The sequence below is a fragment of the Homo sapiens genome, chromosome 1 (assembly GCF_000001405.40).
Source record: "Homo sapiens chromosome 1, GRCh38.p14 Primary Assembly".
In the NCBI taxonomy this organism is placed as follows: Eukaryota; Metazoa; Chordata; class Mammalia; order Primates; family Hominidae; genus Homo; species Homo sapiens.
In genome coordinates, this window is record NC_000001.11 from 76,618,987 (window position 1) to 76,637,553 (window position 18,567).

At 37.3% G+C, this 18,567-nt stretch overlaps 1 protein-coding gene across 11 annotated transcripts in view; it reads left to right on the forward strand.

The window, feature by feature from the left end:
• ST6GALNAC3 (ST6 N-acetylgalactosaminide alpha-2,6-sialyltransferase 3) overlaps positions 1–18,353 on the forward strand; it is a 562,594-nt gene extending 544,241 nt beyond the window's left edge. For 7 of the 11 annotated variants that reach the window (NR_146056.2, NM_001349106.2, NM_001349111.2 and 4 more), the window contains 2 exons: positions 8,466–8,573; positions 9,634–15,617. Coding sequence is in view for 10 of the 11 variants with exons in the window: in NM_001349106.2 (NP_001336035.1) it covers positions 8,466–8,573; positions 9,634–9,820 (295 nt within the window). In the remaining variant the exon portion in view is untranslated. The other 4 variants (NM_001349107.2, NM_001349105.2, NM_001349109.3 and 1 more) reach the window with 3 other exon arrangements.
• Positions 18,354–18,567: the final 214 nt, after the last annotated feature.

An 18,567-nucleotide genomic window follows, 5' to 3' on the forward strand; every position in this document is an offset into this window, starting at 1 on the left:
TGAATAATCTGAAACTATAAACTGCATAGGCCATCTGTAGTAGCTCAAGTCTTCAAAATTATGGACTGTTAAGAAAAAAATCAGAGATCTAGGGAAGGCAACAAAGTTATTTTGGGTACAGACAGGATAAGAGGGTATATAATACCATTCCTTCTCCCAGAAGCTTCAATAGGTAGAGGATATACTGATTTAGAGGTCATTTATTTCAGTGTTTCCAAACCTGAAAGGTATTTCAAAGGGTTCATATTCTTAAAGCAGCAGTGGTATGTGTTTGCATTTCCACTAATTTTTTAAAAGCTCAATACATTTAACGTTTATGTAAAAACTGTTTCCATTATAAATGGAACACATCGAGAACCCCCAGGTGTATATGGAGGAAGCCTACTTGGTGGTAAGTGGAGATTAGATGACTTTGCTCGTGATTTGTAACTTAGTTTATAACACAGATGAGCACTACTAGGTGCATCCTTTATCATCATACATTTTTAATTGTTTTATTCTTAGTCATATGTTGTTTACATTTCATTCTCAACTCTGAATTAATGAGGAATTTAATGAAGGAGAAAAACATAATTCTGTCAATTTTCTTCTGGATACTTTTCCCCAGATCCATAAATTTCTTTCATCTGAGAAAATAACTATATGAAACATCAAGATATCTCTAATATTTCAAAACATAATGTAAAAAAGAAAAATAAATTGGTGCTATTTATGCATCCTGTCTGTAACCAACAATCTATTGCAGAAATAAACACTGATGATGCTTTGAGGTCTGTACCAGGTTAGGGGATAGATCAGAATGACTGTGTTCCTATTATTTTTACACCTCAGTACAACATCACAGGCCATTCCTTCTGCCTGAAAAGCCCTCCTTCTTCTCCCTCCTCTGCCTAATGTTCCACTCAGCCTTAATCCACAGCTCAGCTCTTACCTCCTGTTGGAGAAGAAATTATCCTCTTCAATTCCCTCAGCTATATTTGTTGCTCTTTCCCCAGTATTCCCATAGCACATGCAGGGGAATTACCTCCTGAATAGCCTTGGTTTTGAAAATAGTCACTGAGTCTGTCTTTCTGAGTTAACCCTGAGTTGAGATTGGGGCAATTTGGTTTTCCAGTGCCCAGCAACATGCCTCGCACCTAGAAAGTACTCAACACATCTTTCTTGAGTGGATGAGAGTAAACGGAATTGCAGCTTGATATATAAGATTGAAAACTGGAGAGGACATTGAAGAGAGCATTTCAGGAAGAAGAAAAGCACACAGAAGTAAGGAGTAAGAAGACAGAGGCTGAGATGCGCAAGTTTAAGGAGCAATAAATGAGCCCATGTGACTAGACCAAAGAGTTTAAGAAAAGAAGTCCTGGAAAAAGCAGTGGGGAGTTTAGGTGTGTTGAGGAGGGTCTCAGGGGACACACATTGTCTTGGTCTGCCCTGGCCATCGTATGTCAAAATATCACATAGCTTAAACAGCAGAAGTTTATTTTCTCACAGTTTCGGGAGCTTGAAGTCTAAGATCAGGGTACCAGCATTACAGGTTTCTGGTGAAGGCTCTCTTCCTGTCTTGTAGATGGCTGCCCTCTGGCTGTGTTTTCACATGGTGGGAAGAGGGAGCACTCTGGTGTCTCTTGCTTTTCTTATAAGGAAACTAATCTTATCCCCGTAATCTCATCATATGACAACTCACCCTGCTAATCTCATGTAAAGCTAATTATCTCCCAAAGGCCCCATCACCAAATACAAAATACCACCAGACTGGGGACTACGGCCTCAACATATGAATTTGGGGGAACAAAATTCAGCCCATAGCATCCACCCATATTGAGTGGTTAAGGAACCGGCCACTGATAAATGAAGTGGACCCTAAAGATTGCTATCATCCTTCTGCCATTATTGGGGTTCCATTGTTCAGTTAAGAAAGTGAATGAAATCTAGAAAATCAGCATTTCCAATTAAAAAGGCGTTAAAGCCTAAGGACATGAAGAAAATAACCTTTTAATTTCTGAGATGAATGAACAAAGAAATTTTTCTAAGTGGTATCTTCTATTTCTATAGCAGCCATAAATCATACCATTGGGAGCTGTACCATTTTACTTTTAAATGTACGTTTTTGAAAAGAACACAGTCGTTTCTTATTATTCTCCTTTTGTACAATTTCATTGCATTCATAACCAGTCAAAGGGTCCTGATGATTCTCCGGCAGAAAAACTATTTGTTATATTCACAGTCCAAGTGCCTACTGATTAGCACAGGTATTTTGCATTAGCTGATTGGGATAGAAGTACAGTCTTCCTCTAAGCTTTACTGCTTTCTCCATTTTCCATTTTTTGTTATTTTTCAGGCCTGGATTCCTTTCACTTGGTTCATTCTCTTAAGAATTACCAGCCACAGAATGATGTTTTTATTTATTTGAAAAGTTTATGTCCATTTGCAAATGATTCAAGACAAGACTGAGAATTCCACTGCCTGATTTGCAGAAAGTTGTTGCTGCCTGAAAATGTGCTGGGCATGTCCTGTTGATAGATAGTACAAATAAACAGTGTTAATACAATGGGCAAACTTCAGAGCATTTCCATAGCTCCCGACTATTGAATGATATACAAAAATATATGACTTGGGGACAGCTGAAATTGTTTCCACACTTTGAGCTCTGCTTCCATTAGACTGGTTCACAATATTAGATTGAATCCCAAGGTGCTACTGATAATCATCAGCTGCTTTTCTTGCCAAGAATCTTTGTTTAAATGTATTCTTTCATTATCCATGTGCTTTTGAAAAAAATGAGGGAAAGAATGCTTTTAATTGAATAATCTGTATTCTGTCAGGTATTTCTTCTCCGTAGGAAGGTATCTGAAAACTTACTTTACTTTGCTGTTTTTATTTATCCTGCCAGTGTAGTATATTGATGAGAGAACTGAGGTCCAATAGTGTTAAAACAAGACATGAAATATTGATTAATTCTTCTTTTAAATTCTCTTTTTACCCCTGAGTATAACAGATTTCAGAAGCTGCTGCCAATACCATGCTCTCCAATAAACCTCCATTATTGGAAGGGGGGTCTTGATACCCTTCAGGCTTTGATAAATGATTATTATGCTTTTGAAATGTTAGCTTTGAGTGCCTGAGGCTTGACTTTCATCAGTTCAAGAAAGAAACAGTAGAACTGAAGCTGCAAAGTTTGAGCCAAAGGCCCCCAAAGGAACCATTTCATGAAAGGAGTTAACCATAGATACTGTGGCTTCTGAACTCGTTGTCCTTGTCCCACCTGATACTTTTTCTGCATTCCTAATTGTACATTCCCCCATTGCAGGCTAAGACTTGCCCTTTGGGTCTAGGCCTACTGAGTTTGCTGATTTCTAAGGTTAAAAAGTAAGATAATGGGTTTAGATGGACTTGTAAAGAAGGGAGAAGGAAGTACGATGCTTGGTTGGATGAAGAAAATCAGGGGACTGTGAATGAGCAGAGTAGGAACTGGAGATTATAGGAATCTGGCTGTTTAGGGTCAAGGACGCCCTCAGAGCAATCACCCTAAGGCAAGAATAGGCCCTGGGGAGTCAAGAAATCCACTGCCCTCTTAGGACCCAGATGAGCTTGGAACAGAGGGGAATCTGATAAAATGTATAAGAGAACTGCACAGGACAGCCACTGCACAACAAAGAGTTATCCTGTCCAAAATGTTAATAGTGCTGAGATTGATAAACTCTAATCTAGAGAAAGTGCTACAATTTTTTGCCATCAAAGTATGAATTTCTTGAGTTCAGAACCCAACTCATTGAGCTATTGGTATTCAATAATTAGCAGAGCATCCTGTGAATAGATAATAAATCCAACATAATCCAGTTCTCTTTTGAAAAGTAGCCATTTCCATTTCCTCAGTTCCTCCCCTGAAATTATCTGAAAGGGAAATGTCACTCAGTTAGAAGGCTCCAGCTTGCCAGATAATGGGAGGAAAGTGCTTCACGATATCTTTCCAGAAATGAGAAGAGGACAGAGTGTGCTCAGAAACAGAGGTACAGGCAAATGAAGGTTGCTGACAGCCAAAAACACTGAGACTGGTAAACATCATGATAGCTGAACAGACGAGGAATCCCTGTATCCATGTGATGGCCTTTCGACATGAAGGAATAGGGGTAAACATCAAGGGTAAAGTAGCTTATATTTTATTGAAATAAACTAGATGAAAGGTCGTATCTTAAATGATATGTCTTCAAGCATGTGCTACATCAAGGTCTTGACGGCATCATTTTCCCAAGAGATATGCCAGTAAATTTAAGTAGTTTCCAAGTTGTAAGTATCTTGATTACCAAGGAGCAGCAGGGTGCAGAGCCTGACCGGTAAAATCAAAGGATTGATGGCTTCCTCTTCACACGCCTGCCTTTATTTTCCCCTGCATGGCCCATTATTCTGCTGCATTAATTTAAGCTTTCCTATTGCACAGAATTAGGGGCTTAAATTCTCTTATCATCCCTGTGGGAATCTTGATTGTTTATTTGTGGATGAGAATAATTGTTTTTATTGATCCCCAAATGTGGAAGGTAAAAAAAAATGCTATGGTTGATGGCCAGCTGATACATAGTTAGTGCTGCGTGCATGAGTGACAAATTATGAGACAGTATTTGGCCCCAGAGGATATCCTTTAAGAATTTTTAAGGCATTTGATAGTTATCACTTTAAGGCATTTGATAGTTATCACTAAGTCTTTCCAAGCTGGAAATCATAAACAATTTCACATACATCAGGTAAAGTCTTTTTGTTGTAGTTTTCATTGAAACTTAAAGGTCTAGTTGTGTGTAATTTATAATTTCTCATTTCCAGTATGCTCACACAGCAACTCGGTAGAGTTTGGAAATGGTACGGCTACAAGACATTCTGGAGCCAGTGCTATCAGGCCAGTGAGTTCCTCTAGGGACCCAGATTACTAGGCATTTATTTGGAAGAATTCCTGGATTCATCCAGAAGTTGTCATTATTCCACTGCAAGCATCATTGTATGGACATTAGCTCCAAATAGTTAGAGAAAAGAACTACTTTGCTAGCCCTAGCTTGTACTGTGGGTAGGAAACCCCCTGCCATTTAACATCCCAAATATATCAGAGGCATCAGGGAAAGGAACTGCAACTGTCAATTAAGTGCTGTTTGTAGGACAGGGCACTTGGGCAGTATGAGCCTCCCCCATCTGAATCAAATGCAACACATCTTGTTTAAAGAGCTATTGAGCTAATTAGCATGGCATGTCTACACAGAAATAAAACAAATCAGGTTAGGTCCTAAAGGAATCAAGTATCAGAAATGTGGTAAAGTTTCCTTATTAGGTGGTAAGATGGCAAGATCCTTGACCAGATGCCAAACCCTGAAATTCTTGATCTTCTTTTCCTGTGCTAAAGAGAACATAGATATATAGAGAAGCCACTAATGACCATTGTATCTTCTTTATTCTTTGAGGGCTGTGTTCTGGAAGCTTACTGTTGAACCTTCAGAAACGACTGTGTGGGCTAGACCAGAATGAGTCAGGAGAGCTTGCTTGTTTCACAGAATAAGTGTCCATATGTCACAAAGAGGATCTTCCTCTTTTTCCTGGGGATATCATATTATCTTTGTCTTTGATAATTAGCACCTCTGTGAAGGGACCACATCAAAGGGAGGATGATTTTTCCTAATTATGATTTTTTTTTCTCACTCAAATTCACCTTTACCCTTAGCACTATGGTTCAGTTATGGCCTTGGCCTTCGTCAGCCATTGCAACACCTTCCATGAGTGGCAGTGTAAAGGAGGGAATCATGGAGTTCTCCCCACAAAAGTTTTGTGACTATTGTCACTACCATTGCAAGGTAAAAACTTTATACCCAGCTTATATTTTTATATATACCCCATACATTTAGTGTCATGCCCATCACACAAGGGAGCATGAAATGTGATCTGACGTATTCACATGTTTGCTCATTACAACATCCAATATGCATAGAGCATGGTACCGCACAGTGGTTAAAACTTAATTACAGACTGTTGAGGGTGATGATCACAGAATCATAGTTCAACCATCTCATTTTAGACACAAGGAAAATAAGACCCAGAGAGGCTAAATAAGTGGCCAAAGCCTCATGTTCGAGTAGCAGCAGAGCTGCAATATGAAACCAGATATCCTCACTCCAATTCTAACTGCACTCTGTGTTGACTCTGAAACACATGGCTGTGCTTTGTTGCACTGTATTGTGATCAATTGTTTTAACATGTGTGCCTCCCTCACTAGACCATGTACTCTTAAGAAAATATTCATCACCAGCTTCCTAGCACAGTCAGTGGCACATAATAGGATCCCAATAAATGTTGGTTGAAAAAGTGAATAAATGAGTAAATACATGAGACCTGATTTTTTCCTCATCATATAGAAACAAACAAATGCCGTAACTTTTAGTGATCTCTATGAGTGCTTGGTCAGCCTGATAATGAAGAATAGACAAGATAGGGAGTGAAAGGTAGAAAAAAATAGTATGAGAAAGAAGAGAAAAAAAAAGAATATACAATTCCATAGGAATAATAACCAGACAAATTCAGTACATAGACAAAATATTTAGATTCAATTTGGGAGCATTTTGTCAAGACTCTTGCCTCTTCTGATCTCTTCTCATTTTCAAATAAGGGCTTTTTAAGCAGATGGTGCTTTAAGCAATTCCCATCATTGCTGCTCCTCCTCAAACCCCAGAATGCAGGATTGACTGCAGGTTAAGTTGTCTAAAAGGCAAAGTTGTTCGTTACTGTAGCTCACTTCCCTGAGATACGTCTTCCCATTCATTTTGCATCTATTGCTGCCCCATGTTGCTGCTACTGTCACAGAGGAAAGTGCATGTAACTCACTGTGATCTAGTTTCTGGGATATTTTCCATACACCAGAAGATGCGAAGGAATGGCTACTTAGGTAGTAACATTTCAGACTCAGTGACAAGTATGCAGAGAGGATGTATATGGGCTGAGTCTGTGTATCCTTGTAAATCACCCAAAGTCAATGCAAGTAAAGGCTAAAAAATCCAATTATCAACCCCCACTGTGAGTTTGTGTTTTTCCTGAAATGCTGGCACATTGTAAGTAATTTGACACTAAGTAGTGCCTGTTAAAAAGAAGCAGCAGCAGCAGCAGCAAAGGATTCAAGGCTCCTAATTATAGCACACTGATGGCTTGGTACTGGGATGTGCATCAACAATATTGAGCATCAGTAGGGAGCAAGTACTGGCTGGAGGGCTGTATCCAGAGAGCGGTTATCAGTATCTAAGTGTCAGTTTGAACTGGCTGTGCTCCTGTAGGCCAAGAAGTCTATATGGAAGATAGACCATTTAATCTTTTTCAGAGGTGTTGCTACACAGCTATCAAACAAATTGGGGTGCTCCAAATGCCCCCGTGGAGAGTTTTAAGGAGATGGACAGTCATCTCTTTTGAATGGATTGAGTCACACTGGCTAAAGACAAATATGGAGATCCAGCTTTTCATTTAACATTCCTTTGAACCATTTGGAACTTGGCAGATGCCCAATCAGCACTTCATCCAAGTACATCACCACCTTCCCCTTCAGTTCCTGCATTTCCCAGCTCTTCTTTGAACATACCAACCATACTTCCATATTTGTGATTTTGTCCTTGCCCTTCCCTCTTCCTGAAATACCTTTTCCTCATGTGGTCCAAGTGGCTTCTTCCTCCTTGACCCTCCCCTCTGTCTTTTTCAGATCTTTGTTCCCATGATCAAAGAAGGCTTTCCTAGCCAAACTTTATAATATAGCTACCTCCAAATCCAACCCACTGGCCTTCACAAAGACAGAAGGTTTGGTTGTTTTGATCGTTGTTGTATCCCCAGCCTCCATAACAGTGATTACCATGTAGCTTGTTCAATGGAAATACAATGAAGAAGTTGGTAACATAGGTCTTAAAAAGGAAAAGTCTTGTCTTATAATGCCTGGAAAGCAGTTAAGAAATCTTTTCAGATGCTTTCATTTCAAGTTATTCACATACACTGCATGTAAGTTACACTTAGAAACCCAAGCAGCCTTCAAGAAAGTAGTAATATGTCCAGTTAAGCAAGATAGCACTATTATCATTCAGTTCCCATCTGGGCTCCAAGCAACTTTAAGAGAATCTTTCCTCTGATAGACAGGACTAATTTGTGTCTTATGGAAAATTAAATAAATTATTTTTCACCTGAAGGGATAAGATTATTTGACTTCAGATATTTGCTATATGGCTTCTCTTCCACACAACATAGCTTTGAGGCTTAAGGTAGTAAGAGCAAGAGCATTCCTATAAATTATTCAGAGATAATTCAAAACAAGTGTGCATCTTTGACATATTGTCAAGTTTCTCAACTCTTTTTCCTGATAACAAGTGCTATGTTTTTGATGAAATGTTGCTCGTTTCTCACACACCTTATTGTTCTGTGTGTGTGTTCTGTGTTTTGTTCTGTTTGTTATTGTTTGTTTTCATTTCCCTCAGAGTCCAGTCTGGCTCATATCTCAGCACAGGGTGGTTTACCTTCCTTCTGGCCATGGACGCCTGTTATGGCATTCACGTCTACGGGATGATAAATGACACCTACTGCAAGTAAGATCACAAGAAATTATTTTTATGCAGCTCCAATTCGGAGATCTTGTCAAAATATCACAATTCATTTTAATACCATAAATCTGAGAAACAGATAAAGCAACAATTATTTCCCAGTGTTCTTTGCTGACATGACATTTTATTGTCAGTGCGTCAAGTTGTGACTTCTAGGGGTGAGAAAAAGAAAAATATTTACCAGTCTAATGTCAAATGTCAGGAGGAACACTTTTCCCTTAATCAGTGGCATAGCAGGGACTTTTGGCTTGAAAATACAGAAGAAGTTTAGTGGTTGTGTAATTTGCAAAAGCAAGTTTGTCATTTCTGCTGCTCTGATGGCTTGATGGATAGCTATCTACTCAATGGTTAGTTAGATTTGATCATGAAGGACAAAATGTCCTGCAGCCTCAGAGAAACTGACAGCTTAACAAGAATTCCTGGAAATTATACTTCACTAGTAAGTGAGTAATCTGCCAGATCCTTATTTAAAATGAGTGTGTTTACCCACAGTATATCCTTGCTGGTGGGATAGTTTCTAATTAGATAATGAAACAAACCCTCCATGCTTCATCAGGATAATGGAATCTATTTCCCTACCAACAATTGGCACAATATAATTCACAGACTGTTTTAATCATAATGTCAAAATGGTAACTCTCAGCCACAGTCTTCATGAACAAATATTTCTTCCCTAACTATAAGCATAATGGAGCTCAGATGAGCCAATATCTTACTGTGAAAAATCACAGTTTCTTCAAGTTCTGCAAGAGGCTATCTAAAGTTTCTTCAATTATACACCATTTCCTTTTCAAAAGATAGCCATATGTTTGAATGTAATTGGCATGATATATAAATTTTATTTGATCTATTAAACCACTAAAAACTTGGTACATCTTCCTAAAAGCTTTCATACATATAATAGCTTTTAACTGAGTTCATGGACAAGAATCATGTATGGGTTTGTGAGTAAATGCATTTACTGGGCACATAATGGATTCTTGTAAATGAGTGCTTCATTCTTCATCTCAATCTTTCTCTCCTTTTCTTTTTTTTTCTTTTCTAGGACAGAAGGGTATAGAAAAGTCCCCTACCATTATTATGAACAAGGAAGAGATGAGTGTGATGAATATTTTCTTCATGAACATGCCCCATATGGGGGTCATAGGTTTATCACTGAAAAGAAAGTGTTTGCTAAATGGGCCAAGAAGCACAGGATAATATTTACACATCCAAACTGGACATTGTCTTGATAATGGTTTTCCTGATCTTGCCGCATCACTTAATGTGATCCCCATACTGCAACTGTGATGCTGATGATGCTAATGGAGATGATGGTAATGATAAAGACAACAACAATGATTATCAAGTTCCTGTACACTCTCAGATGTGGATGGTGACTCTGCTAGTAATTTAAACTTGGCATTTCATGGAGGATGGTTGTGCTCATGATGTTCTTTCTGGAGGTTCAACACTACGTACCGCACTTTATAATTTAACTGGAATTGAGATGAAGGCCAGTGACATGACAACTGTGACCTAAGAAATGGGAAGATTATCTTTCAAGATAGCTGCCTAGAATTGTTCAACAGTGAGTAACTTCCAGAAGCCAAAAGAGTTTGGCTTCATGAGGCAAGGTGATTGACTCAATGGCTTGTTGAATCTCAGCAGTTCCGCCATCTTGAAGAATGATTGATTGTCAAACACTGACCCAAGAACTGCTATCAGGGTGCAAGTATCTTACTACTTAGCCTAAGGATGGGAAAATATCTCTTCCTAATATACCATCTTTCTACAGTATTTCCTACAGCTAAAGCCTCAGGCCATTGCCTAATTAACAATGAAGATTTCATGGACATCCTACACTTCAGGATTACTTGACTATCTCAAACACATAAATCAAAATGGGCCAAGTAGCAAATCTTGATGAATTTCCACTCTTACCATCCATTCTTACTACCAACAGTATAACTGAACATGTGATTAGAATGATCTATATTAATGTTTAGTTATTTTTGGTTGAGTGCTAAATATTTCAGAAGGCTACTTAACATGTAAGATACCAACTTCAACACTGTAATAACATATACTGTGAAAACATTCCTAAAAAGTAACCAAAGGGTTTGCTAACTCTGCTTCAACATCCAACAACACAAAACTATATGATTTTTAAAATCATGAAATAGAGACAGCAAAGCATATTTTTACATCAATTTGTATCCTATCATACTTCATAATATATATTTGTATATTCAAATTTCTATTTTATAGGCCCAAGGTGTGTTTCTCCAAACATTACATTCTCATTGCCAAGTGCCAGCTGTTACACATGGAGAGGAAATGATTCCTTATATTAAACCTGACCAGAGCTTTTTGCCTTCTAGGGATTTATTTTTCCCATAGTGTATCAGTTGTTATGCCACAATAACAACAATAATAATGTTCTTAATGTCCAAAGTGCTTTGTCATTTAGAGTCCTTTAACATCTGTTATACCATGTGATGCCCTTGAACACCCCATTGGGCTATTGTCTGTGTATTCTGCTCTCTTTAGCAGATGATCTGTAATTTGGTCATTGTTCTGTTATATTCCAGATTGCTCTACTTGCTAATATTTGTATAGAATAGAATTTATGTAAACTAGTAACCAGTTGATCTCTGTGCCAAATACATTATATCAGGATTACACAAAAAGTATCACAAAGGATGGTCTTGGCCATATGCTAGGGCCCCTGTGAAAATAAGTAGTTTTGAGAAGTTTTTCTATATACGTATATATACACGTGTGGTTCTATTTAGGTGGGGAAAAAATGAAAAAGCAGGGACAACAGGAGGAAATGAAGGCAGAGAAATATAGTTTCCTTTCCTAGGATTGAGACAATTCTATTTTTCATATACTCGTTGCTCATTAAATAGTAAAGGGTTGATTTGCTGCAAGAGTAGCTGAGAATTCAAAAACATCCTTGCAGAATGATTCAAAAGACAAAAGCCAGGCTCAACTTATAGAATGTTTTGGAAACTGGAAGTAATGATACATTTCACTTCAGAAGCACTTGTAGGTCTTTACTAGTGCTAAGTATTATGGTGAGCTATCATTAAAGTGTGCCATCTTGGATAAAGGCCTTTTGCCTACTCTCTTCTGCAATTTTGACACCTCAATATTCACACCCATAAACATTACTAAGCCCCAGTTCTATCGTTGGAAGGAGTTGTTATTCTTTTGTTGTTCCCTTATGCAATTTTTAATTCTATGAATGTTAAGTTTTTTTGAGCTAATGATAGATAGAAATGCCCACTCAAAGAAAAATAAACAGAGACAAATGTTAAAATTGCCATACAGACTGTTTTTCCCCCTGTTGTTTCACTTTAAAATAAAAAGAAATCCTTGATTAATCAGAATGGCTTGGGACATGAACTTAATTTATTTAGTTTTCTAATAAATGAAGGGCCAACTCTTATTTGTTCTAGCCCCTACTGATGAGAAACATTTGAAAACTTGCTTGCTCTCCTGCCTCGTTGTAGCTTTCTCTGATGAAGACTTCTGCAGTATATTGTATCCCTCACTCTATAGCAGAAGGTGTGTGTGGAATATGTAGACTCCAGTGTTTTCTTAGGAGGGGTGGGAAAGGGCTTTCTTTCCTCTCCTCTCCTCTCGTCTCCTCTTTCTTTCCTTTCTTTTTGCAACTAAACTGCTACTCTACACTTTTTATTGTTGTTTTCTTTGTCTTTTTCTTTCTACAAACAGGAAACAAAAAAAAAAAAAAACAAGTTTTTCTCAATTTGGAGACTCAATTGAATAATTTCCAGTATAATCAGCATTTTGATAGAATCTCACAACTTATTTTTCTCTGCTTTTATTTCCTGTTTTTCTTTGTTCCATCTTTCTAATTCTAGTGAAAATGCAAAGTCTAATTTCTCCCATGTTGAGAATAAATTTTTCATCTATGATTTGCTGATAGAGAAGAGCTTGGTAAGGGAGCAATTCAAGGAAACTATTTTGCCATGCACATTTCTGATCAATTCCCACAGATTCTGGTCAAATGAAAGATATTCTATCCAACATTTAAACATTGAAAAATTTAACTGAACTTACTTATCACTGATGTGTATTTATCCCAGAAATTAATTAATATCTGTGAAAAATAAAAATATTTCAATACTATCCGTGCTTCTTGGAAAATGAACTATAAAAAAGGGTCACAATTTTTCTGAAATTGGCATGAAAACATTCAAGATAAAAATAATAGACTAAACATTATTTTCTGTTATGCATAATTCTATGAAAAAGCAAGGTAATTTAAAAAGAGTTTTAAAATGTGTGTTTGAATCTTTTCCAATTTAACCAAGTGAGAAGTAGCAATGATTTACATTGTTATGATGATAATGTGAATAAGAAACCTTTTAGAGTATATGATTTTACATTGCTATCAAACCTATCAAAGAAAAGGCAATTGGAATTTGGAGGAATGTTTGTATATATGCACATAGAGTCTATTTGTGTGTGTGTGAACGCACATATATATACATCTATATACTTATAACTATATATAAAAGCATATATATAATCCTATATTCTTCACTGGTGCATGTGAATCACAGAAAGCCCTATTTTAGACTTCATCTGAAATTCGTTGGGTTACATTTTGAATCCTGATGAAAAAAGCAAAAATCCAAATTAAATGGACTGATTGCTAAGAGTACGTAAAATCATATTCAAAAGCTGGCCAGAAGAATAAAGCTAGAGAAGCTGCTAAATCTAGAAAACACAATCAGATGCCACAGTTGTCACAAATCAGACTTGTAAGTATAGCAATCTGTATTGTAGGTTCTGCCGATTGCAGGCTTAGCTAAAGTCACATTGAAAAACATTGCATCAAGCTTCATTCACACTGAAGTAAATGAACATTGGTCCTCCTATTCAAATAAGCCAGTCTTTAGCATAAGCAAAATCCAGATTTGCATGATTTTTATTATATAGCTACAGAACTGTGACCACTGTGAAAAAGGAAAATTATACAAGGAGATTGCTCTTGGAGGATTTGGTATGAATCAGCTGAGGTAGGAACAAGAGTCTGAATTGGGGACCTGCTGACCTTCCAAGAAGTAGAAGGCCATCAGAAGAAAATCACTGTTACTTAGAGAAGAGACAACACTAAAGTACTTCACCTGGTAGTGTTAATTGGATGTTAATTATGAGCTCGGTTTAATTTCAATAAGCAAGAAAATATAATCAGATGACTGATTTAAAAAAAAACAACAACAATGTGCCCATCTAGCCTTTAATGTGACATGTCAAATGCAAATAATAAATTATGTTATTCAGTATCAGTTGTTTGCATGTCTTAGCACAACAAAGGATTTACAGTCTGAGGGCCAAGAGAGAAAAAATGCTTTTTTCTTAAAACAGCATATTTAAAAGACAAGACCTCATCATTTCAGTAGTGTACATAGATTAGTGACTGAAGGAGCCAGTGCTAGCCTTTTTAAGTAGGTCAGGCTTTTAGAGCTGAAAGAGATTTTAAAGACCAGCCAATTCAACTCCTACACCTTGGAGCTGAGGAAACAGACAGAGGTGAAGTGACTTGCCTGTAGTTATAAACTGGACTAATGGCAGTACTGAGACTCAAATTCTTGTCTCATGTTTTCTTCTCTAGTGCTTTTTCCACTACACTTTTTAGACAGAAGAGTAGCTGGAAAAAGAATGCCTAACTGATTTACTAAAGAGTCTATTCATGGAATCCAAGGGCTCCAAATTGTGCTAATTCTGCTCAGGATGAAACAAATCCCCACGCTGAAGTGGAGAAATATTTTCATAATTGAAGGAACATATCCCATTGATTGTCTACACTTTCTTCTCTCTGTTTGTTGCTATTGGTAAGGCTAGGCTATGTTCTGTTATCACAAAATTCTAGGACTTGTTTAAAGAACTTAAAGGTCAGTTTCTTAGTTTCTCTTTGTGATTGAGGATGAGCAAGCCATTGATACACCAAGAGCTGCTGAGTGTTGGAGGTTGCCTGGTGAAACTGGCAGGCCCTGTTGTTGACATTTCCCCAGAGCTAAAATGTCCTCATACTCAAACCAACTGTGCTGCCCAAGTTAGTGAAATTATCCATCAGCACTAACACCACCCTTTGGGTTCATGCTCATCCCTGCACTCCATGTGACCTTTGAGCCCAGATACCCTTCTAGAAGGTGAATGAAAGCCCCACATGTCCCGCAAGACTTAGTCTGCATAAAAGATTTAAAAGGATTTTTTTTTCTCTACAGTCCATTTATATGATACTGTTAGAAGTGAAGAATTTTGAAACTACATACACTGGCCTCTGAAAATGGTTCTTGTGGCTCAGAAATAGTATATTGTTCTGTTGCTTGTTTTTGCTGAACTGTAGAGAAAACACCAGAGTAAAATTCCATGTAAATTGCTAAGGCATCGAATCAGAACTGTCCTTGGGCGTTGTAACAGTGCAGAAAATCTCATTTAGTTTTTTTCTTTTTTTTTTTCAGTTAACTACTTGTTTGTTTCTTTTCAGAATAGGCACTTTTTTTTGAGTAGAAAACCTCTTCTTTCTCCACAGATACATCTCTTTTTGTTCACGCCTTGAAGACTTCAGAAAAATAGAAGCTCACTTCCTTCCATAAAGGTGAAGAACATCTTGATGAATAAACAGTCAACTACCAAGTTCACATATTTGCCTATGAAGTGAGAGCTATTTCTAAGAAACTTCAAAAAGATCAAAACGAGGCAATTTTATAGCTTTTTGTTACCTAATCTACAAAGTACTAATTTCCTTGTGTTTAGCTTTGTTGTCACTGTTACTGAGTAAATACCCATTTCTGTTACATATGGTACATTTTTTGCTTCACTTATTTTCCTGAGTTCCCATGATTTTTTTTCTGTAGTTTCTCATTCATTTTAAAACCCATAATCTTCATCTATTTTTAGAAGAAAGTGTAAATGCACAGTTGTACGTTTGTTGAGAGTTTTTATGGCATTATAGTGCTTTATTTATAAGCATTGTGTCTTAGAATAAAGCTTACAAAATGGCAAAGAGCTATTGGCATATTTCAGTTTGTTTTACAACAGGACAAGTAAGGATATGTTAATAAAGCCAGAGGGAAAAGGCGGTATGGGATTTTTTTTTTTTTTTTTTTTTTTTTTTTTTTTGAGACGGAGTCTCGCTCTGTCGCCCAGGCTGGAGTGCAGTGGCGGGATCTCGGCTCACTGCAAGCTCCGCCTCCCGGGTTCACGCCATTCTCCTGCCTCAGCCTCCCAAGTAGCTGGGACTACAGGCGCCCGCCACTACGCCCGGCTAATTTTTTGTATTTTTAGTAGAGACGGGGTTTCACCGTTTTAGCCGGGATGGTCTCGATCTCCTGACCTCGTGATCCGCCCGCCTCGGCCTCCCAAAGTGGGGATTTTTAATATACTTGATATCCAAGTCGGAAACATATCCAGAATACTACTATAAACAATAACAAGAGAAAATGTTGGTCTGCCTCTGGAATTTGTTTTGTCCATATTAACTATCTGATGCTGACATATATTTCTTTTTTTGCTGTGTCAGACATATTAACAAAGTTGGGTTAGCACATAAGCTGCATAGAACAAAGAAGTCTTCCTTCTTTCCTCCCTTCCTTCCTTATTCCTTACTTTCCTCTCTCCTCTTATTTTCTTTCTGCAAATCTCAACACTCTTGCAGTTGAATGTCAAATTTGGATAATTTTTCTTTTAACAAATCAGCTTATAGTTATCTATCCAACTCTATAAGAGATCCATATTTGGAAATGATCTCAAAATGAGAGTCATCTTTGGAAATAATAACTTCTACTTATATGCCAGGCTTATTAAAGGGCTGTGTATCTCATTCAGTTCCCCCAATACTTTATGAGGTACATAATGTTACTATCACCATCTCATATATAAGGAAATTGAAGCACTAGAGAGATTAAATAGCTTACCCATGGTCACACAGCTTTTGACGAAATGAGATTGGAACCAAGGCAGTTTGGCCCAGAGTCCATACCTATCTGGGGAAGGCTAATAAATGTAACCAATAACCCCCCAAATTTCAGTAGCTTAAGAGAATAAGATTTGTTTCTCCCTCAAACATAAATTCTACATAGATGCTCCTCTCCAACCAGCTTGTTTCCAAGGGTGACTCAGATACAAAGACACCTTCCATCATGTGGCTTTGCCCTCCTTGAGGTCCTTTGAGTCCTCTCTATTCGGCCTGCTAAAAGGGAAAGAGCAAAAAGGATCTTGTGCTGGAAGGTTTTATGGGCAAGCCTGGAAGTGATGTATATCACTCCACCCACATTCTATTGGCCAGCCTCACTCGCGTGCCTTGGTATGGGCAATGCTGTCTAAATGTGTAGGAAAAGAATTTGATGAACATGTAGCTCTTTCTGCCCTGATATTCTTAGTCATGATGACATAATAGCTGAAAAAGAAAACACTGAGTTTTGTGCAACTCTATGGGTGAGTTGTTTGTTTTGATAATCCTTGTTCAAGCACTAGAAACTTTCAGAAAAAAATTTTTGTGTATGGATATCAGTACCCACATCAGAACCAGAATAAACTAAGGAACAATATATTGCTCTAGGTCATATTATACCAAGAGAGAATATGGTTTCTTTTGCCCAAGGAAGCAAGAGAGAAACTGGCACACAAGAAACACTTCTAAGTGACTGAACTCTACCCACAATAGAAGTAACGTGACTTTTAATGTCTTAATGATCTGTGGTTAAAGTAGGATAGATGTGCCCTCACCTCTGATCAACCGCTTGTTTTTGTGCCTATTTCCCTTTCAAGATGTCACAGAGATTAGCCTTTTTTTTCAGCTCTCCTTTGGTATTCAGGTCTATGCAGTACTGTGATATTTTTACTGCATAAAATATAATTGCTATTTCTTGAATCTTAAATTTAGGAATTTCTCTCATCCATCTTTTTTATTTAACATTGGCATATGAACTTAATAAAAGTACTAATATGCCTTAAAAAGACTAGACACACCACAACATCACAGGGCATATTTCTATAAAGAGAGGACCTTATATGCATTCTCTCCCTCACTCTTCTTTACTTCCCGAGACTTTCTACTCTTTGACTTCATTTTCTTTAAGCTATCTAGGAATCCTTTTCCCTTAACACTAATAGAATTTTGCATCCTAGAAGTTTTTTTTTCACCTAATACGAAACTATTTGCTATCTTGGAGAAAGTACTTCGCATGTTAGCATATAAATTTTCTTAGTTTGTCCATTGAGAAAGATTAGCTGGGACTCTAAAAGCAATATAATTAGAGAAGAGAATCTGCCAATGTTTACCTTCTTTCAGAATAATGTGAAATTTCTTTTAAGGACAAGAAACTTTAGTGTCTAGTTGGTAAATGACATAGGTTTGAATCTCTTTCTAAGAGTTGTAATTGATGATAAGAATATTCTGTGGTTCTTTACAGGGATAAATTGTTTAGTTTAATCAGAGTGGTGGCTCTCACTATCCATAAGTCCATGGGCAAAAGTGTTGACTAATACGATCATACAGTGTACACCAGCCACCTTACACCATGCATTGTTGAGAGTTCTTGCTCTATATTTGATAACACTTTTCAAATATGCCATTTTCCGTGATTATAAAATTGCTTAAATATCTATATAATCTTTCAAAATAATTTTCCTACAAATGTCTAAATTTCTCTAGAAGTACAACATATACAATCAGATTTACTTGGAATGGTCTTCCTTAGTCAGTCATGTTTTCCTGCAAATTAAAATGGTTTGGACAACACATCTTTTGGTGATGCTGGTTATGATGAGTTTCCTTCCTAGTAAAAAAAATAAAAATAAAAAAGGGGGTGGGGGGAAATACTCCACAATCTTTGATGGATAAAACGGCATTCATGTTGGATGAGGACAACAATATCAGGCAAATGTATCAGTGAAATACGCAGAACTGTGCCTGGCCGTTCAATAAGGAACAACAGAAAAAAATTCAAACTTTCAA